The sequence below is a fragment of the Homo sapiens genome, chromosome 21 (assembly GCF_000001405.40).
Source record: "Homo sapiens chromosome 21, GRCh38.p14 Primary Assembly".
In the NCBI taxonomy this organism is placed as follows: Eukaryota; Metazoa; Chordata; class Mammalia; order Primates; family Hominidae; genus Homo; species Homo sapiens.
The window spans coordinates 7,668,884-7,692,454 of record NC_000021.9 but is presented as its reverse complement, the minus strand read 5'-3'; the positions used below and the strand labels follow the sequence as shown (position 1 = coordinate 7,692,454).

Genomic DNA, 23,571 nt, shown 5'->3' with positions numbered 1-23,571 from the left:
GTGTACCCAGTGTTAATTTCCATTTATAAGTGAGAATATGCAGTATTTTCATTTTCCATTTCTGCATTAATTTGCTTTGTATAATGGCCTTTAGTTGTGTTAACGTTGCTGCAAAGGAGGTTTTTTTTGTTTGTTTTTGCTAAGTAGTATTGCTGTACATGTGACACTTTTTAAATTCAATTTACCATCAATAGGCTGGACATGGTGGCTGATGCCTGTAATCCCAGTGCTGTGGGAGGCCAAGGCGGGTGGATCATGAGGTCAGGAGATCGAGACCATCCTGGACAACGTAATGAAACCCCGTATGTACTGGAAATACAAAAGTTAGCCAGGCTTGGTGGCATGCGCCTATAGTCCCAGCTACTCGGGTGGCTGAGGAAGGAGAATTGCTTGAACCTGGGAGGTGGAGATTGTAGTGAGCTGAGATCGTGCCACTGCACTCCAGCCTGGGCAACAGAGTGAGACGTCATCTCAAAAAAATAAAAAATTACCATGAATAGGCACGTAGGTTGATTCAGGTCCTTCCTCTTATGAATAGTGTAGTGATGAACCAACAAGTGCATGTGCTATTTTGGTAGAATAGTTTATTCTCTTTTGGGTATATACCCAGCGGTGAAATTGCTGGGTTGAATCACAGTTTAACTCTCAGTTATTTGGAAAATCTCCAAGCTGTTCTCCACAGTGGCTGAACTAATTTACATTCCTATTAACAGTGTATAAGTGGTTTTTTCCCTCTAAAACCCCATCAACATCTATTATCATTTTACTTTTTAACAAAAACCATTCTAACTGGTGTACAATGGTGTCTTATTGTGGTTTTTATTTACATTTCCTTGATGGTTAGTGATGATAAGCTTTTTTCATGTTATTTGGCCACTTGTATGTGTTCTTTTGAAGAGTGTCTGTTATTGCCCACTTTTTCATGGGGTAATTTTTTCCTTGTGAATTCTTTAAGTTTCTTATAGATTCTGAGTATTAGATTTTGTCAGGTTCATAGGTTATGAATATTTTTGCCATTCTGCTAGCTTTGGGGTAAGTTAGTTTTTATTTTTCTAGTTTCTCTAAGTGTGATGTTAAATTGTTAGTTTGAGATCATTCTAACTTCTTGATGCAGGTATTTAGCACTCTCAACTTTCCTCTTAACAGAGCTCTTCCTACAACCCAGACATTTTGTTATATTGTGTCTCTTCTATTTCAAAATCTTTTTAATTTTCTGCCTTAATTTTTTTGTTTATCCAAAATTCATTCAGGAGCAAGTTGTTTAATTTCAATATCATTCTGTGATTTTGTGAGATTTTCTTGGTATTGATTTTTATCTTTGTTCCATTGTGGCCTGTCATATTCTGTGAGCAGATGAGAAGAATTTACTTTCTTTAGATGATGTGTTGCATATACTATAAATGTCTATTAGTTTCAATTGATCAAGTGTCGAATCAAACTCCAGAATTTCTTTGTTAAGTTTCTGCCTAGATAATCTGTCAAACACTTAGTGGGGAGTTGCATTCCCCTACTATTATTGTGTGTCTACTTGAGGCTTATTGTAGTTCTAGCAGTAATTGTTGTATAACTCTATGTTCCCCAAAGTTGGGTGCATCTACATTTACGATAGTTAAGTCTTCTTGTTGAATTGAACCCTTTATCGTTACGCAATACCTTTCTTTGTTTTATTTTACTATTAATGATTTAAAGCTATTTTTTCTTAAAAGAGAAACAATTCCAGGTATGGTAGCTTGTGCCAGCACTTTCAGACTGAAGCAGTCGGATTGCCTGAGACCAGGAGTTTGAGACCAGCCGAGGCAACACAGCAACATACTGTTTGTACAAATTTTTTTAAAGAAACTATACAGGAGGGGTAATGTGCACAACTGTGGTCATATTTACTCAGGAGACATAGGTGGCATGACTGCTTGACTTCCGAAATTTGAGGTTACAGTGAGCTGTGATTCCACCAGTGTACTCTGTCCCAGGAGATAAAGTAAGATCCTCTGCATAAAATGAAAAAGTAAAGAAAAATAAAAAGATTTTAAGTTAAAAAAATAATTCCTAGATCTCCACTTCTTTAGGTTCACTTGAATATATATTTTTCTCCTTTGATTAGGTTATATTTCCTGGTTGCTTTTACTTACTGTAGTTTTGTTAAGGTTTTGATCAATTAAGAAACCACTACCTATTTTATCCTTTATGAAAGAGCTTTATACATGGGAAAATTGACAACATTCAGCCACAGTAGTCATACTGGGAGCTTCTCCAATCTGTTGTCAAAATGTGTCTTCTTTGGACTACTGTATGTATTTTCTTGTTAATAAGGTTTACCTCTGTTTCCTCTTAGGAGCCTTTAGTCTCTTCCCTTCGTCACTGTTGTAGGCACTACAGTCTCTGTTGTTGTAAGAAGCATTTATCTTTATTCTCAGTTGACCCAAGCTGTCATTTAAACTCAGTCTCTATTCTCATCAACACTAAATGTTAAAGGAAGCAATTTCCAGTCTTTAGATAACCCCGGTATAACTCAGTAAGTCAGAAGTTTGCATACGCATTTCACTCTTTTTTCTTTCCCAAAGGAGAATCATGGAATGGACAGATTTTTATCTAACTGCGCTGTTCTGTAGTGCACAAATGTGACCAAATTTTCTTCTAAATGTGGTTATGGTTGGCTTTTTTCTCATGTGGGGTGCTACAAACTCAACTGGCTTTGTTCGCCCAATTGTAGTTAAGTTCATATGTCAATGGAGAGAAACAGGATCTCAGGTTCTGCTTCAACTGTCATTGTCTTCTCAGCTGACCTCATTTTGTACATTAGATTTATAAAATATATTTACTTTAATCTCATCACCGAATTTTTAAAAAAATTATTATTTTTCAGCTCTTTTAGCAATATATCCAATCAAGACCCAGAGAAAACAGTACATAGAAGCTTCTTTTCAAAAAGTAATATTGGGAAGATATGGGAGCTCTGGCCTTGAACTTTTACACTTAGGAGAGTGGGAAATTGAAGGATAAGTGTAAACGGCACAAAGTATGCTATGATGAATATACCAGATACACAGCAATTACCTACAGCAAAAATGTCACTGCTAGAAGAGCTCAAAACCATAAAGTATTTTGGAAAAAGCATAATTAATGTTGATTCTTTTTTCTGAACTATATATTTATATAATTACATACCAATAACAATTTTTGAAACATATCATGTTTTTGAAACAAAATTTAGAAAATCGCAATAGTGGCCTAGGCCAGGAATATTTCTTCTAATGCTATCCCTCCCATAGTCCCCCACTTCCCGACAGGCTCCAGTGTGTGATGTTCCCCTTCCTGTGTCCGTGTGTTCTCTTTGTTTAACTCCCTATTATGAGTGAGAACATGCGATGTTAGCTTTTCTACTCTTGTGTTAGTTTGCTGAGAATGGTGGTTTCCAGCTTCATCCATGTCCCTGCAAAGGACATGAACTCATCCTTTTTATGACTGCATCGTATTCCATGATGTGGACATGCCAAGTTTTCTTTATTCAGTCTATCATTGATGGTCATTTGGTTTGTTTCAAAGTTTTTGCTCTTGTGAACAGTGCCATAATAAACATACGTATGCATGTATCTTTATAATAGAATAATTTATAATCCTTTGGGTATATACCCAGTAATGTGATTGCTGGGTCAAATGGTATTTCTCATTGTGGATCCTTGAGGAATCACCACACTGTCTTCCACACTGGTTGAACTAATTTACACTCTCACCAACAGTGTATAAGTCTTCCTATTTTTCCACATCCTTTGTTGTTTCCTGATTTTTTTAATGATCACCATTCTAACAGGTGTGGGATGGTTTCTCATTGTGTTTTTGATTTGCATGTGTCTAATAACCAGTGATGATGTCCTTTTCTTCATTTGTTTATTGGCTGCATAAATGTCTCCTTTTGAGAAGTGTCTGTTCAAATCCTTTGCCCATTTTCGATGTTGTTGTTTCTTTTTTTCTTGTAAATTTGTTTAAGTTCTTTGTAGATTCTACATATCAGCCCATTGTCAGACGGATAGATTGCAGAAATTTTCTCCCATTCTTTAGGTTGCCTGTTCACTCTGATATAGTTTTTTTTGTTGTGCAGAAGCTCTTTAGTTTAATTATATCTCGTTTGTCAATTTTGGCTTTTGTTGCCATTGTTTTTGGTGTTGTAGTCATGAAGTCTTTGCCCATGCCTATGTCCTGAATGGTACTGCCTTGGTTTTCTTCTGGGGTTTTTATGGTTTTAAGTCTTATGTTTAAGTCTTTAATCCATCTTCAGTTATGTTTTGTATAACGAGTAAGGAAGAAGTCCAGTTTCAGTTTTTTGCATATGGCTAGCTAGTTTTCCAACACCATTTATTAAATAGGGAATCCTTTCCCCATTACTTGTTTTTGTCAGGTTCATCAAAGATCAGATGATTCTAGATGTTGAGTGTTATTTCTGAGGCCTCTGTTCTGTTCCATTTGTCAATATATCTGTTTTGGTACGAGTACCATCCTGTCTTGGTTACTGTGGCCTTTTAGTATAGTTTGAAGACAGCTAGCATGATGCCTCCACCTTTGTTCTTTTTGCTTAGTATTGTCTTGTCTATGCAAGACCTTTTTTGATTCCATATGAAATTTGAAGTAGTTTTTTTTCTAATTCTGTGAAGAAAGTCAATGGGAGCTTGATGGGGATAGCAATGAATTTATAAATTACTTTGGGCAATATGGCCATTTTCATAATATTGATTCTTCCTATCCATGAGCATGGATTGTTTTCGTTTGTTTGTGTCCTCTTTCATTTCCTTGAGCAGTGGTTTGTAGTTCTCCTTGAAGTGGTCCTTTACATCATTTTTAAGTTGGATTCCTAGGTATTTTATTCCCTTTGTAGCAATTGTGAATGAGAGTTAACACATGATTTGGCTCTCTGTTTGCCTATTATTGCGTATAGGAATGCTTGTGATTTTTGAACATTGATTTTGTATCCTGAGACTTTGCTGAAGTTGCTTATCAGTTTAAGGAAATTTTGGGCTGAGATGGTAGGGTTTTCTAGATATACAATCATGTCATCTGCAAACAAAGACAATTTGACTTCTTCTCTTCCTATCTGAATACGCTTTATTTCTTTCTTTCTTTTGCTGATTGCCAGAACTTCCAATACTATAATGAATAGGAGTGGGGAGAAAGGGTGTTCTTGTCTTGTGCAGGTTTTCAAAGGGAATGCTTCCAGTTTTTGCCCATTCAGTATGATATTAGCTGTGCATTTGTCATAAATAACTCTTATTATGTTGAGATAGGTTCCATCAATACATAATTCATTGAGAGTTTTTACCATGAAGAGGTGTGGAATTTTATTGAAGGCCTTTTTTGCATCTATTGAGATAATCATGTGGTTTTTGTCATTAGTTCTGTTTATGTGATGGATTTTATTTATTGATTTGCATATGTTGAACCAGCTTTGTATCCCAGGGATTAAGCTGACTAGATCGTGGTGGATAAGCTTTTTGATGTGCTGCTGGATTCGGTTTGCCAGTATTTTATTGAGGATTTTCGCATCGATATTCATCAGGGATATGGGCCTGAAATTTTCTTTTTCTGGTGTGTCTTTGCCAGGTTTTGGTTTCAGGATGATGCTGGCCACATAAAATGAATTAGGGAGGAGTACCTCTTTTTCTATTGTTTGAAATAATTTCAGAAGGAATGGTACCAGCTCCTCTTTGTACCTTTGGTAGAATTCGGCTGTGAATCCGTCTGGTCCTGGACTTCTTTTTGTTGGTAGGCTACTAATTACTGCCTCAATTTTAGAACTTGTTATTGGCCTATTCAAGGATTCGACTTCCTACTGGTTTGCACTTGGGAGGGTATATGTGTCCAGGAATTTATCCATTTCATCTAGATTTTCTAGTTAATTTGCAAAGAGGTATTTATAATATTCTGTAATGATACTTTTTATTTCTGTGGGATCAACGGTTATATCCCCTTTATCATTTCCTATTGCATGTATTTGATTCTTTTCTTCCTTATTAGTCTGGCTAGAAGTTTATTTATTTTCTTGATCTTTTAAAAAAACCAGCTCCTGGATTCATTGATTTTTTGGACGGGCTTTTTGTGTCTCTATCTCCTTCAGTTCTGCTCTGATCTTAAATCTTGTCTTCTGCTAGTTTTTGAATTTGTTTGCTCTTGCTTCCCTAGTTTTTTTAATTGTGATGTTACGGTGTCGATTTTAGACATTTTTCTGCTTTCTCTTGTGGGGATTTAGTGCTGTAAATTTCCCTTTCAGACTACTTTAGCTGTGTCGTATTTTACTTTTTAAGCCCTCAATCTTCCTTTTTCATCGTGATAGTCTTTACTGTTTTATGTTTATGTAATGTAAAATTGACTACACAATTTTTACAAAGATTTTATGAAAATATTTTATTGAGAATGTACAAACCGTCAGTCAATTAGAGGAGAAGTTACACTGTCATAATAAATAGCCACAAAGCAAAACGCCAAAAGACATCCAAATCAGAATAAAACAAAACATTTTAACAAAAACAAAAAGAACAAACTGGCAACAAATATGTGAAGTTTATATTACAAAGATGCTCACTTATCCACTCTAAAGAGAGCTTTTAGAATTTGATTTAAAATACGGCAAAGACATTATCCCACACTTCACAGAAAAAATAAATTTAAGCAGCTGTTAACACATGAATGTATTATCAAGCTCAGATATAATCAAAATTAAATATTTGACAAGAGATTCTACAGTTTGGGAGAAATAGAAGTGTTTTTTTCTTTTCCCCAGGCCCACAAGTCTAGTTTCTTGTTCTTCTTCACTATAATGGGGTTTGTCATCAGCTCCCCAAAATATGGGAAGCACAGAGCAGGTGGTGGCTGAAGGTGGGGTATCCTGTGAAACCATATTTAAGATCAGAGCCCTTGGTCCATTGTGTTGTAATCAGCTGGCTCAGGAAAGAACACCTGGCTGTCCAGAGCTCTACACCTACTGCACTGGGTGTGAAAGGAGGCCTGAGAACCCATGGGTCCCAAACCCACCCCACTCCAAATTATCATCCAGTATTGAGAACTCTGACACCAAATTCTCACAGAGCATATGTTTATGCAGTTTTACATTTAATTTCTCATTACATTACAATTGGGAAACTGAGGCCCCAGAAGAGGCAGAGACTGGTCCAGATCTCAGGAGGTGGGCAGGCTCCAGAGCATTAGAGAGGGCTCCAGCTTCCTAGGCCTTGGCACCGTCCCACTTATCAGGTTTGTTTTCGAAATTAGAGTCTGTAGCTACACATTCAGGAGCACAGAAAATGAGCAGATTCAGGGTTCTGTTCACATGGGGTCCTCTCCATGTCAGTTTCAAGATAACAGGACTGGGGTTCTGCATCCAGCTCTGAGGGCAACTGGAAGTAAAATGAGCTATGCTCCACCTCAGCCTAATGTAGACAGTGCCTACAGGAAAGCTTGTTTTCTTCCTCATAAATAGGGGTGCCTGAAGTGGGTGACCTTGATGATTTCACATACTCATAAGTGTCTGCCAGCCTGGATTCTTGCTCTGAGACTGCAAAAATGCACCCACTCTGCAGATCCTTCAAATCAGAGGGAGGCATGGCCACTTGAGAGGCATCTTGGGTAGATGAAGATGAGACAGAGTTAAATGTGCCAGAGCACTGGACTCTGAGGCTGAGGTCCACGGAAAATCTCAGCTACTGTTGCGTTCTTAAGGTCCTCATTTGAAAGTGGTAGAAAATAATTTCACTGGATAAGGGGAGGATACCTCATGAGTAAATAGCACAACCAAAAAGGTGGAGGCAAAGAGAGGGCAAAACGGGATTCCTAGTTCACTCATTATACTTGGGGCCTTCAGATCCTGCTACTTTATCCCCTAGGACCTTGAAGAACCAGTGTCTTGAGGACAGAAAAATCAAGGTATCAGATTTGTTCAGTAGTGCTCCTGCTTGGGGCTGTAGGGTTAGTGATGGCCAGGAGGTGGTTACAGCCTACTGTGTTTCTGGTGCCCACTGAGCTTTGCTGGAGCAGCTGGAACAAGTAACAGTCACACACCTCATGTTGTTATCAGTGATGTCCACATTATCAGGTGGTCAAAAGGGGAAGGGATATTAGGGATCCCCCATATAATCACTTAGCCAGTCTTTTTTCCCTTGCGCTCACCATTTGCCAGCGACCCTGGTGGGTCCAACATGTGGTACAGAAAATTATTACTTCATGTCTGCACCCCCCAACCCAGGACCAAACAATCTGAGGACCGCTGGACAAAAGCACTAAAGCAAGTATATGTGAAAGAAAAGAGCAAGGACTATAATATAAAGTAGATTATTGAGAAGAAAACCTGGAAAATTATTGCATGGGAGGACCTCAGGCCTCACTGAGGTGACTTTTAATCCATGATGAGGATGACAGCAGGGAGGCATCTGCACAAGCATGTGTCAGGGAGAAGCCACCCTTAGTGAAAAAACTCATAGGTGTGAGTTTGGCAGAGGTAAAAAGGGACTAGTTTGGCTGCAGACAGCCTGAGAAAGAGATAAGCAGAGGGATGGAGAATCCTAGGGCCTGGGAGATGAGGTTAGATATCTGCTCCTTTCTGACAACATTGCCCTAAAAGTCAGCACTTTTCAACAACATATAATATCTCATAATGTGTGTGGACCAGAATCTGGACACAGCTCAGCTGGCTACCTCTGCCTTCAGGTCTTTTATGAGACTGGGGGCTGTGGTCTTAACTGAAGCTGGACTGGGAAAGCATGAGCCTTTAAGCTGACTCATGTGAAAATTGACAGGGTTTAGTGTGGCTGGAGAGCCTGACTTTCCTTCTCTCTACTCGTCTGAGCACCCTCTCACCCTTTGTTATGTGGGTCTCTACATGGAGCATCTCATAGCATTGGAGCTTGCTTCCTGTGTTTGAGGAATACAATAGACAGAATTAGACAAAAAGGTTTACACAAAAAGAGACAGAAAGATCGAGGGCGCAAACGAGAAAAACCCAGTAGGAGAAAAATTAGAGCTTTAAAAACATCTTGACAGGGTGCGGTGGCTCACACCTGTAATCCCAGCACTTTGGGATGCTGAGACGTGTGGATCGCCTGAGGTCAAGGGTTTGAAACCAACCTGGACAACATGGTGAAACCACCGTCTCTTCTAAAAATACAAAATGAGCTAGATGTGGTGGCGCATGCCTGTAATCCCAGCTACTTGGGAGACTGAGGCAGGAGAATCAATTGAACCTGGGAGGCAAAGGTTCCAATAAGCCGAGATCACACCACTGCACTCCAGCCTGGGATACAAGAGTGAAACTGTGTCTCAAAAAAAAAAAAAAAAAAAAAAAAAAAGAAAGAAAGAAAGAAAGAAAAAAAACTTGAGAGTTACTATAATTTTTCTTCTATATTTGTGTTAAAATTGTAACCCCGGGCGTAATGCTATAAGGAGGTAGAATGTAATTAAACCCTTAGGGTGGGACCCTCATAATACAGATTACTGGCTTTATACAAGAAACCGCAGAGGGCTCTCATCCTCCTGCAAAATGAGGGTAAAACCTGAAGTGTGCAGGCTGAAATTCAGAAGCCAGTCATCACCAGATCTCAACCATGCTGACACCCTGATCTCAAATTTGAACCTCTGGAGGTATGAGAAATTAAGTCCTGTTGTCTATATGCTGCCTATCTATGGTTCTTTGGCATAGCAGCCTGAACTAATACAAAAGTGATATCCTTTTCTGTGTTTCATTGGAGAGAAGCTGAATTTGTACCCCCTATACTGTTAAAAAAAAAGACTTAAAAAATGGATCTTCAGAATGAAAGATAGGAAACGGCTTGTTGAAACACTAAAAATTTAACTGCTATAAGTTTTTTAAACATTGGCTGAAATTGTTGGAACCAATATTGCCAACTGAAGTCCATGAAGCATCACTTTGCAGACTTTGGAGCCCAAATTTCCATTGTGTGCTTCATACTAACTCTCCCTGAATTTGTATGTGACCTGTGAGGAAACAAGAAGAGATGACTGTATATGTCTCATGACTTTCCATATTCCTACTTTCCTTCCAGCAATCCCCTACAGAACCCACCTATTAGGCCTTTTCTAATCACTGCCTTAAAGCCAGTATGACAAAACAAATTTGATTTGAACTCCTATCTCCTTGTTAGCCAACATACAAGATGATATTTTCCTCAAAACCGAAGGGCCATAGTACTGGCATCAGGAAGTATTCCATTTTATTCAATAAAAAACTGAGTCACTCAATACCTAGTACTGGGAGACTTTGTGAAGACTTCCTCTGTCATAGACGTGATAAGGCACATGGATATGATTCTAAATATAAAGAGAAAGCACTAGAAAGTTGAATTCCTGTATTAGATCATTCTCATACTGCAATGATGGAGTACCTGAGACTGGGTAACTTATAAAGTAAAGAAGTTTAATTGACTCACATTTCCACATAATTGTGGGGGCACCTCAGAAACCTTCCAATTACAGTGGCTGACAAGTGAAGTGAGTGAGAGCATGGGATGTACCAGATGCTTATGAAACTATCAGATCTCGTGAGAACTCACTATCACAAGAACAGCATGAGGAGAACCCGTCCCCATAATCCAATCATCTCCCCTCAGGTTTTCCCTTAACACCTAGGGGTTATAATACACAATGAGTTTTGGGTGGGGACGCACAGCTAAACTATATGAATGCCAGAGGACAGTATCTACATTTAATTTCAACTTCATACTGGAGCAGAATGAAAATGAGGCCCAGTGGAGAAGTGATATTTCCAAGATCACCCTGGCAGACACCAGGCCTGTTTGAGTTGTGGCCCATGCTACCTCCCACCTATTCTCCTAATGCTTCCATCTCTAAGTGTATGCATTATCTACAGGTGACACTACATCATTATTTTTATGTCTTATCTTATATACACCTAATACATTCCCTAGGAAGTAGATGTTAGCATCATCACCAGTGTGCATGTTAGGAGGCTGGGGAAGCCTTGAATACAGTGACTTTTACTGGGTCCCAGAGATGGTAAGAAAAACAAGGTTATGTTCCAGCTGTCTCTTCTATCCTGGAACCCAGGTTGCATTTAGGTCTTTCCAGGGAATTAAGGGGAAGTTGTGTTTGCATAATTGTGTACAAATAAAGAGTTGACATGGAAGAGGAGACTGAGCAATCAGTAGCATAGTGGGGCCTTTCGGTATGTCTTACAGAAACATGGGGCCCAGTAGATGGAACCTTGAAGAGTTTAACATACTTTCTTGGTGTCAGAACCCAACAGCAGTTAAGAAACCAGGAATCCACATTCTTGAGACAGCTCTGTATCCACCTCTGTTTGTGAGAGTTGCTCAAGAGAGTGAGATGCTCTTTCATTGTGCCCTGAAATTTCTGAGTTTCAGCCTTACAAAGGCTCAATGTAAAAGTCTTATCTGATAACACAGATGTCAACTGAGCCCTCATCACTGATTTCCCTGGCTTTTGGCCGGGTGCACCTACAAATAACACAGGGCAGCCCAGGACAGGCCCCTCCACGCCAGCCTCTCTTGTCAACTCATCTGGGCAGTCCCACACCACTTCTTAGTACCATGAGTTGGATGGGGAGCAAGAGGGAGGGCACTCTTCTTGGACTGAAGTAGATTGTCGGGTGTTGGAACTCTTGTGTACCTGTCATGTTCATACCTAGGCCATAGCTGGCAGAATAAAAAGAAGAGGGTTGGAGAACGAGTCTGTGTACTCAGATGTGAATTCCAAGACTTTAACTTGTCCTCTGGTTTCCTTCCTTCATGGAGATTTATACAGATTCTCCTTATGTGCCTAATCTGAAGAGAAGAATTTCTTTTATTTTCTTTTTTCTTTTTTCCTTTCTTCTTTTCTTTTTTCCTTTCTTCTTTTCTCTTTTCTTTTCTTTCTCTTTCTTTCTTTCTTCTTTCTTTTTTTTTTCTTTCTCTTTCTTTCTTTCCATCTCTCTCTTTCTTTCTTTCCTTCTCTCTCTCTTTCTTTTTTATTTATCATGAAGTCTCACTCTGTTACCCAGGCTGGAGTGCAGAGAAAAGCAGAATTTCTAATGGAGGTGTCACATACGGTCAAAGCAAGGAAGAACACAGACTTTTCTTTGCGTGGTTTCTAGGCACATTTACAAAGCTGCATTCAGATTGATGAGGAGCTTCATCATTCAGTTTAATGTGGCCAACTCCTCCCTCTTTTTGGAAAAAGAGCAGGTGCACTAAACCAGCAAACACAGCCAGCACTGGGCTGTGCTGAGAGCAGCCACATAGGGGTCTCTACAGACAGAAAGCTGAGAAGACAGGGAAAGAAACAGGACCCAGACTCAAATATGAAAAATCTCTGGGCTTTGTCCTACGGCCTTCCCATGAGTAACTCATAGCCTTGTTCCAGTGGAATCTGGCCTTCACTAGTCTCAGTGGCAAGTTGGTTATGTGGAAAGTCTCTCTTCACACACTTGTGCGAATAACGGTAAAGAATTTTGTATAGTTTTCACTTTACATTAGGCCATGAGTATTTATGCCTGTGGCTGCAGTTTGTGTTAGTTTCCGGCCCCACGTATCTCCTGCAGCATGCAGCTTCAGTCCTATCGGACCCTCAAAACTTAAAAGCTAACACTATTACTAGGGAGGATTTCGCAGGAAAATGGAGAAAGGGTTACACACAAAAAAGGTTAAACTACTCTATGCATGTTTCTGCAATGTGTTATCTCAGGAACTCATTTCTGTAGCCCATCAGGGCAGGAGCTGGGCTCTCACCTGTTGATAATATTCCATAAGGGAGGTTCTTCCCCACAGTGTTTAGTCTCCCGACGCTGGTACAGCCTGACATGATGACATTCTACTTTCATGTCGGTCATGCTGCAGGGAAAATTCTGAGTGTTCTAATAGGCTGGAATCATTTGCTAGGGTGAACCCCATCTTTGGTTCTCACTTTTCTGTTATCTTGTAATTAGCTTTATTCTCAGCAAATCCATGTCTATTTTATTTATCTGTTTATTTACTTATTTTTATGTATGGAAAAACACTTTTTTTTATTTACTTATTTATTTAGAGACAGGTCTCCGTCTGTTACCCAAGCTGGAGTACTGTGGTAGAGTGCTGTGATCATGGCTCATTGCAGCTTCAAACTCTTGGGCTCAAATGATTCTCTCACCTCAGCCTCCTGTGCCACCATGCCCTGCTAGTTGATTTTAATTTTTTATAAAGAAGGAGACTCATTAGGCTGCCCAGGCTGGTCTCAAACTCCTGGGCCCAAGCAATTCTCTCATCTCAGCCTCCCAAAGCACTGGGATTAAAAACATGAGCCACTGTACTGAGCTGTGCCTACTTCAAAAGACTGAAAATAAAAAATCAATAAATCTTTGCCAAATTAAAAAACAAAACAATAGTTTCCAGGTCTTAGACAAAGACAATTCTGTGTCATGAAGAGTGGCAAAAGGCTTATTTAGCTGTTAAAATGATTTGCTTATATTTCAAAGAAGCAGAGAAAAAAAGATACATATAAAAGTTTTCCAGGCCAGGCACGGCTGTTCATGCCTGTAATCCCAACATTTGGGGAGGCCAAGGCAGGAGGATCTCTTGAAGCCAAATGTTTGAGTCCAGTACAGGCAACATGGTGAAATTCTGTCACCATAAAAAAATAAATAAAATAAATATGGCTGGACATGGTGGTTCACGCTTGTAATACCAGCACTTTGGGAGTCGGAGGCAGGTGGATAATGAGGTCAGGGGTTCGAGACCAGCCTGGCCAAAATGGTGAAACCCTTTCTCTCCTAAAAATAATAACAATAAAAAATTAGCCAGGCATGGTGCTGTGCGCCTGTAATGCCAGCTACTCAAAAGGTTGAAGCAAGAGAATTGCTTGAACTTGGGAGGCGGAGGTTGCATTGAGCTAAGATCATGCCACTACACTCTAGCCTGGCCCACAGAGCAAGACACTGTCTTGAAAAAATAAATAAATAAATAAATAAATAAATAAATAAATAAATAAATAAAAAGTTAGCTAGGCCTGGAGGTGCATGCCTATAGTCCTAGGTAATTAAGAGGTTGAGGCAGGAGGACTGCTCAAACCCAAGAAGTTAAGGTTATAGTGAGCTATGATTATGCCATTGCACTTCAGACTAAGCAAAAGAGTAAGATTCCATTTCAAAAAATTACTAAAAAAAGTTCTCTAAATTACATTGTTTAAGAAAAGGGAAAAGAAAAAATATCTTTTTTAATTTTCAAATGGGAGAATAGAGCCTCTCATTTCTAATATGTATTTCCTTCTGCAAAAACATGGTCTAGGCCCATGGTCTTGAACTACTGGACATCTGAATTTTAGTAGGTGCTGGATTCAGGCAACTGAGGGGTGGCTTGGACACACTAAGTGCACGTAAATAAAAGGTTTGAGGTGAACTAAAAGGTAAAAGAGGGGAAGGTGCTATTAAGAACCCACAGTTGGGAGACAGTACAGGGTTGGTGGAAGGACTGGTTCATGCTACAGATACTGACCCAGGTGAAACTTTACTCTGACTTATTTCTGTGTCCATGCAGGAAGACGAGATTATGATCAGGTGGCACAGAAACCTGGGATGGTGAAAAAACCAGGTTGCCCCTGCAGATTCGGTGTCTGAGGTAGAACGTATGCCAGGGGTCTTGTAGGCACATGTGTGGGTTTTTGGTGGGAAAGTCTATGAGGAAAGGTAGCATGGGCAACAATCTTGATGCCAAAGCCTTGTCCTGAGAGGGGCTTGGCCACATCAACATGCAGTGTGTATGTTCAGTGGGTGAAAAACCTGTGGTGGCCTCAGGTTGGCAGGAGGGTAGAAGGCATCTGTTCTCAGAACTTCTTCCCTCAGAGTCGTCGGTCCTTCTTACCATGGGAGAATGCCTGGAACCACAGGGCAGTGCATGGTGTAGCAGCCTGTGTGCAGAGCAGAGCCTACCTTCCCCGAGACACCTGGAGTCTCTCTCCAGCAGAGGCCCCCACATTGTCTTTCTCCTTACAACACTTTTGATCCTAAATGTGTAAAGTTCCCTGAAAACCCACTGCTTCTCCAACACCCATTTGTTGCCCCAAAATTTAATTCTGACACAACTTAGAGTTCACACAGATCCCAGAAATTCAGGGCTCAGTCCCACATCACCCCTCTCACTGTAGAGGAGAGTTACACATCCCTGAAGCCCATCTACACTTCTGAGCTACCTCCTATAAATCTGAGACTAGCATAAACCCCTTTTCAAGTTAAATAATTTGATAGAATTACTAAAAAGAAAACCTCAACAAATAACTGTAATTATATTTACTACTTTATTATAAAAATATAACTCAGAAACAGCCAAATGGAAGAGATGTCTAGGGCAAGGAACAGTTGTGGGTGAAGGCAATCCTGGAAATAGCTATATTTAAAGAAATTCCCCCATTCTTTGCATTCTCAAAGAACAGCTTAGTGAAGAGAAACGTGCTTCCCCTGATGACTTTGAGGATGCTCCCTGCTGTTTTTTTAACCTATCACAAAAATGGACACAGATTGCAAATTCCCATTTTTAAAAATGAACAACCATTCAGTAATTTAGTCTTCAGTGGTCCAAATAACATACTCTTAAAGAAACTTTGCTTGTTTCTCTTCTTCCAACCAGCCCCTGAACTTTGACTCACCCACAGCTTCAGCAAACCTACAACCCTTATTTATACATACCCCTCCTAAGAACAGGCTGAGTTCAAGGTGAAACATTATCTTATCTGGGATCGCATTTTGCTACCCTCCATCGTGTGCTTCCTTTCCAACCTTCTTTGTAAACTTGTTTTCTCCTCCCTATGAAATAAGGCCCTTTTCCACCTAACCTTAGAGATACTCAAAGATCTAATCATTTGTACTTTTTCTTTGTTGCAATACTTCTTAGGTAACTTCTTAGACCAAGTCTAGAAACAGTCTGAGGACAATAACAATTCCATTCTAAAAAGAATCTCCCAACATTTCTTCTATCTCAACCTCAACTGCATCTGCCTGTGAACTTCCAGCTTACCAAGGCTCTATATCTTCTGGCAGTGACAAAGGCTCCTTCCATGGTTGGTGTGAGTAGGCTTGGACACCTGCAGGGCAGACACCCAGGAATAATCAACTGGGCCTTCAGTGGTCCTCTTTTGCAGGGTCAAGGTGGGCCTTAGCTTTTAGTCAATGGTCTAAGACTTCTATTTACCAGTTAGTCATTCAGTTAGTTTTCAATTCAAAAAATACTTCATGTTTGAAGAATCCAGCAAAAATTATTCAAATCTAAGATATAAAAGAGAGGAAATTACAGCCGGGCATGGTGACTCATGCCTGTAATCCCTACATTTTGGGAGGCCTAGGCGGGCAGATGACCTGAGATCAGGAGTTTGAGACCAGCCTGACCAACATGAAGAAACCCCGTCTCTGCTAAAAATACAAAATTATCCAGGTGTGGTGTTGTATGCCTGTAATCCCAGCTACTCGGGAGGCCGAGGCAGGAGAATCGCTTGAACCCAGGAGTTGGAGGTTACAGTGAGCAGATGTCTTGCCATTGCACTCCAGCCTGGGCAAGAAGAGTGAAACTACATCTAAAAAATAACAGAATAAAATAAAATAAAAACATTATAAGGGGCTTATATCTTATAATTCATCAAGAAAAGCCAAAGTATCTATCCCTTTCAGAAAATAAACATGTAATTTAATTATGTTCAAAACAAATCATTTAGTAAACAATTAATCATATGTGAACACTTCCAGGAGGTGCAAAGTCCCAGCTCCTAAAACTTAACATTACCCTCAAACACCCAGATGGCAGCATATGGAATAGAGTTATTCACTTTCACAAGTTCTCTCTTTTGAAAAAAAGAATAACTTATGTGATAAATTTATGTAATTTGACAATTAATCTACCTCATGTGCTTGCAGATATGTATTCATTTCCTACCACCGTAGTGGAAGAGAGATTTTCCCTATCTTTACAACTGATAGCATTTCCAACAGTAAGCTGTGAGATTCTGCTTGAAATCACCTCTCAAACAAATAAAAAACAGACCTGGGAGACATGCTACACTCATTCTGCTGAGGAAATAGGTAAGTAACAATTTTTAACAAATGAAATACATTACTACTTAATTTTATTCAAAATTCACCAACTTAATGTGCTTTATAAATATTCTCATACCTTTGAAGCTCTACTGATAAAACATAATTTACAGTTAATGAAAAAGTGAAGTTAAAATAAATACAATCATATTTTCAAGGTGACAAAATTAGAAGGTGACAATGGTGATTGAAACACAGACATATCTGACCCAAGGGTCAAGTCAAGCCGTTCTATTACTTGGGATATTTTCCCTGCTTCTATCTGGTTCAGTGATGTGGGTCATGAGCGTCCTACCAGGAGCTGCTACGCTCTGCTCCACTGTGTCTGTGAGGTGCATTTTACTTTGCAGGTTTTTGCACTGCCTCACTAGGTTGGGTTTCTTTGTCCTTTGAAATATTTTCTCTCCCTTCACCAATCTGAGGACATTTTTTCCTCACTATTCAGCATCCAGTTGCCTGGCATGCAATGTGTCTCTAAGGAATGGAAACTAAGCGTTGGGGTAAGAAATTCTTAATGTCCTAAAGGGTTTGCTTTTAGCGCAAATGTATACGTGGAGATTCCTTCCAGGTATAGTGCATCCAACCACTCCAAAAAGAGGCTGCATTCCCATACCTTGGGCTGTTCCCTGAGAGGAGATGACACAAGGGATGTTATTTACTAGACACTTCAAGAGTCATGGCCAGTGTTGGTATCTTGGGGATTCTCAAACAGTTTTGAAACCCAAAACCAAGAAAATAACACAAGATGGCTGAGGATGTATTGCCCTGTGAGGTTTCTGAAATGAAACCTCAACCCAAAAACATTCTGATGGGGTGTCTGTGCCAAGGGAAGATTAAAGAAAGGGGCACAAATATTTTCTTTTCTTTTCTTTTCTTTTTTTTTACTGTGGATTGTCAGGGGATTATTATCTGCTTTCATGTCCTGTAAAATGTTTACAAATGAAAAATATTTTTTTAAGTGTCATCCACTGCTTTTTGAAAAAATGCAGAATTAAAATACTGTGTCTAAAATGTACAATAAAGAACAGTTGATAATGTTGTGAGTTACACAAGGTTAGTTAGTGTTGGTAAGTGTCAGGAAAGAACTGGAAATTTAAACTCTGACAGCAAGCCAGAGTTAGGCTGGGGTAACAGGGTGGTAGATTTGAGGCTCTTCTTGCCACACATTTGGAAAATGCATGAGAAAACTAATTCTCTTTTGGAGCATTAAAACAACTAAAAAACAGGCAATTGCGTTGAGGTGGCTCTAGTGTCCTGAGCTCTGAGTAGAGAGACAGGCAAAGGCATCCCTAGATCCAAAAAGCTGCCCATTCTTCTCCAGCTGTGCACCTGATTAGATAATTTCCACTCCAGCACCCATGATTGGATATAGTTCAATTCCCCACCAAGCCCCCTCAGGCCATGAGTGACATATGTGATTTGACACTGGATTGAATAAAGCAAGAATTATAAGTTTTTCCTGGATCCTTTTCTGGCAGGGCTTCCTTCATGCACTGGACACTGGCCCTGCCTGTAAAATACTTGCATTTTCATTTGTGTGTAAGATTATTTGTATTTATGAAAAATATATATGTGTTATTCATACATGGAAGCAATATAATGACAATTGTTTTAAAATTTCAGATGTTTTACTTTCCTGGCACATCCAGGTTTTAGAGCAGGCAGCCTGAGATTTCAAAAATGAGGCAATTCTCTAAGAAATAATATGTGAGGCACATGTGAATTTTAAATATTCTAGTAGCTACATTTTAATAAATACACCAGGCATGGTTGCCTGTTCGTGTAGGTTGAACTGTTTGGGAGACTGATGTGGGAGGATCATTTGAGGCAAGGAGTTTGAGACTAGCCCAGGCAGCATAGAGAAAGCCATCTCAACAACAACAACAACAAAATTGAAAAATTAGCCATGCCTGGTGTATGCCTTCAGTCCCAGCTACTCAGAAGGCTGGAGCTGGAGGATCACCTGAGCCTGGGAGGTCAAGGCTGCAGTGAGCCATGATCACACCACTGCACTCCAGCCTCACTGACAGAACAAAACTCTGACTCAAAAAACTGATCTCTGGAAAGGCATTTTCTTTTTCTGCAACGTAGCCAAATAGCTAAATTTGTATTGAAGCCATCCTTTAATTTTTAACAGGGCAAGAATATTTTCTAAGACCCCGAACTCCAGATATGCGATGGGGCAAATCCTGAAGCGTACATGGCTATCTCTCACAGCTAAAGCACCCCTCACCCCTATCCAGCGCTTCTTACCCCTGGCGCAAGAGAGTCACCTGCGGGGAGGAAAACTATCAAAATCCCTTAAACCCAAGTTGTAACCGCACAACTAAATCAGAATCCTTGGAGCTGGATCTGAAAAAAATACGGTTGAAAGTTGTGCAGGTGATTACAATGTGTAGGCAAGCCAGAAAACCATGGCTTTAACGAGCAGCTTTTGTTAGAAATGATTTCTCAAATGAATGTAAAAACGTTTGCTGCTGAATTGTGACCTTTCAATTTTACCTGCTTTTCCTGCAAAGTATATTTTGCAGACCCAGGCTGGCTTGTCCTTCTGTTCATGGTTCACCCAGTGCCGTGTGTGCTCAGTGCATCCTGTGCACGGGTCACTGTGCTGTGTGCGCTGGCCGGGGTGAGCATCATTCTTCGGGGAGAACCTTTCTGAAAACAAAGCTGCAATCCAAAAAGTTAAAACCATGCTACTTACTGTACTGAGGTAAAAATTAAAAGACCTAGGGGACTCTTCCAAAAGTTAAAACGTAAATAAATATCTTGGAACATTAATATACACCTGACGATGTCCTGAGTGAACACGCCCCACTTTAAAACAAAACAAAACATTACTATTATTCTAAAATATTAATTTAGGATTGTTATGCAAATATGTACTATTTAAATATTTATTGATGAATAACATGCATACAGCAATATAGGAACAAAATATTTATGGAATGCTTGATGAATTATTACTAAATAAATACACTTGTGTATGTAAGAATCAGATTTGCTCATGCCCTTGACACTTTCTCCTTCCCAAAGGTAACCAAGACCTTAAGAGCTAAGTGTAGATAAACTTTGTCATTTTCTACACGTGTTTTATTACAGAACATTAAAAACGTATACATAATACAAAAAAAGGATAACAGACCAGTCACCCAGATTTAACAGCTACTAGTCATGTGTCATTTTTGTTTCACCTATACTTCCAGCCATTTCCACCCCAATTTCATTATTTTTTAGCCTTTTTGGATAAAATGTATATTCATTGCAAGGTACAATGTGAACTGTGAATAGTAGAGAGATGGGGTTTCACCATGTTGACCATGCTAGTCTTGAACTCCTGTCCTCAGGTGATCCACCTGCTTCGGCTTCCCAAATTGCTGGGATTACAGGCATAAGCCAATATACTCAGCCTGAGAATTTTTTCATACTTCTAAGAAAGTACAAATCCATAGGGCACATGAGAACTGCAATGTCTATCTACAGTAAATACAGTTTGATAAATAAAATGAAAGGCAATTGACCTAAGGTGAAAAGAAAAACAAAAAACAATCAAAGCATGGGTACTATGTGTCATCTGTAAGAGCATTTGGTTAAGAATAACAAACAAACCAGTTTTATCGTTTTAATAGCCGAAATTGGCAAAATTTCTAGTTTTTCTTTCATAGGAATGCTCTTTGCAAGAAAAAATTTTCATATAGTGAGAGCAAAAATGGCAACCATTTGCAAGTAAATGTCTTATGAAATTAAGTAGCAGATATCAAGCTCATGACCTTCAGATAGTTACCCCTAACTCAATCACTTACATAGCAAGTGCAGATAATTTTCATAGCTCCCTATTAAAATTATATTTGAATGCCCTTACAAATTGTGACTGTTTTTAAATAAAGTTGACCAACTAAAATTTTGTATATGACATATGATAAATTCCCCTTCAAGTCACCTTACATTTACTTAATTTTATTAGGCAGTGTCTGTCTACCACCCAATAATACTTGACGATTCTCCCTCCATTTGCACAGGCATCATAGCTGGGAAACGGATTCACAAGACCCAGGCTGTTCCCTACATATGTTTCCTCCTCCGACATCAGTTCATCAGTCAATCAAGCCATGTGAGAGTGGAGGCCTTGTATTCCCTATTATTCTTGGGCACTCTACTCCAAGTAGGAAAAGGCCAGGAGGTCCTGTTAAAGGATGCACTCAGAGCCCGGGCTCCCTAACATATGAGAGTGCTAACCAGCAGGTGTAGACTTTTCAGGAGTGAAGAATGAGGCAGGCATTCCAAACCTGGACCTTCATCACCTTTTGTTTCATCTCAAGACAATTCTGAGGGACTGTTTTGGAGCGTGTCTGGAAGGTGAACCTTGAAGAAGAGTGTGGGCTTTGATGTGACTCAGTTGAGATCTTTCATGGGGAGGCAGGAATTCAATGCCCAGAATCTGGGCTGGTGTCTTTGAGGTCAGTAGGTTGCGTCTTTGTATCCAAGTCCATTGTTACTAGGTTGGAGGCTGGAGATTCTAAATGGCTTCCAGACCATCTCTCTGATTCTCTTTGGGAGATGGGGTCTGAAAGACAATGTCAGTAGTTTTGGGAAATTCTAGAAAGTGTGCTTGGAAACGTGGGAAGAGCTCTTGCCTAGTGCCTAAATGCTCCATTTGCAGCTCTAGCCAAGTAGATACTTGGTAGGTATAGAGCCGGGTTTGCGTTTATATCAGCAAAACCTATGTCAGAGTTGAAGAAGTAGTCAGGAAAAAGCGTCTTGGTCGCAGGCCGGGGAACATCTTAAAAGCAAACTTCTAGCCTGCTGACTCTTGGCAATGAGTGTTGGATCCTGGCTAAAGTGCCTTGAATGCAGCATGAGGCCAATCCATGAATCCAACTTCTCATGGAGAAATGTTAATATTTTTTCAGTTTGAATCAATCAGGGTGAAACTACCATGCTATTGGTTTGCTTACTTTTTATTATTTCATGTAAAATCTAAGACAAAATACATTAAATGCTTATTGACATATGTATTTATTCTTCACCAGGCTGATAATATCTGCCTAATTTTAAACTTTCTTCCATTTTGTAGGTTTCAACTTATTCTATTGTAAGATACTGTTAAATCTAATAGAGGCATTGTCACTTTTACGTATAATTTTATTTTATTTCATATATTTCCTATTGGCTTTTTACATTTAAATTATGGAGCACTTCATCATATAAAAAACTTCAATTATATTTAAACAGTAAGTCTTTGGATTTTTTTGCCTTGTAATTTCCATATTACATAATAATGAGATAAACATTAATGTTTTCAGGGTACTTTAAATTTTAGATAATTACTCATTGTATTCATGTGAAATTTGTTTTTACTGCATGTGTGGGTTGGAGGACTGTTTTCACTTCTGATTCATCTTTACTCTTATCTCATCAGAGCTCATACCTCTTGTAGTTGGGGGATTGCAGTTTATAATTCCAATAAATGGGGCAAATTCAATAATAACATAATACAAATGAGTTTGAATGCAGGACAGGTCTTCAAAGCATACACAACATGGGCCTACATATGTACAACAATAATAATTTATAAGTTACTGTTTGGATGGAAAGTAAAAGTACAGAAAATTTGTTAAAGGAAATTAAAATGGAGATCATGTCTCAATAATCTCTGAGCAGACAAAATTAGTTAGGTCTCATAAGTGATCTCAACCTCGCTTGATTTGCAAATACAAACAAAACTTAAATTATTTCTTGTAGCTGCATATTGAAAAAAGAGAAATGAAGCTCAACCAGTCAGAAGTAGCCAACAACCTTATATAAATAGAAACTGTCCAACAAGGTAAACAGACAAACAAAAAACAATAAAAAAAGTTGTGCTACCACCAAATGATTTCTTTGTTTCTACATTTTTCAAATAAATACTTGCTTCTTACACTGTCAATGAAGCACTCAATATCTTTCCGTCTGATATTTTATAATTTATCAATTGCTCTTACTCAAATAAACACTTTGCAATTTCATTGTGTCTCAAATTACTTTTTAGCAGAATAAACTAGGAATAAATATTACAAAAATATCTACGGAATATGGAAAAAACATAGAAAGTTTATGAAATATATGAATGTAGACATAAGCAAATAGACAATTTGTATCATATTCTTAGGCAGAAAAACTCAATATTATCAACATCAATTGTCCTTATAGTTATTTATAAATTCAATTTTGTTCCTATACTGATACCATTAAATATTGCAAGTACACGTTACTATAAAATGTTATATAGATGAAAACACAAACAAGAATAGACAAGAAAACTCTGAAAAAAAAAAAAACCACTGGCAAGCCCTGTGTAAAATCTTGATTGATTAAAAAACTCATGGATCACTGAAACTAAAAATTCAGAAATAAACCAAAGTGTCTAAGAAAGTGTCATAGTGCATCTTGGCTGCTATACCAAAATACCTTAGACTGGGTAAAGGATAAATAAGAGAAATGTATTTTTCACAGTTATGGAGTCTGGAAAGTGCAAGATC

The 23,571-nt window shown here is 38.9% G+C and overlaps 1 long non-coding RNA gene across 1 annotated transcript; it reads left to right on the top strand.

Moving 5' to 3' along the window:
* Positions 1-253: 253 nt before the first annotated feature.
* LOC102723360 (uncharacterized) lies at positions 254-23,058 on the top strand. Its single transcript, NR_170983.1, has 3 exons — positions 254-302; positions 16,877-17,041; positions 21,073-23,058. It is a non-coding gene; the product is annotated as an uncharacterized LOC102723360 (long non-coding RNA).
* The last annotated feature ends 513 nt before the right edge of the window (positions 23,059-23,571 follow it).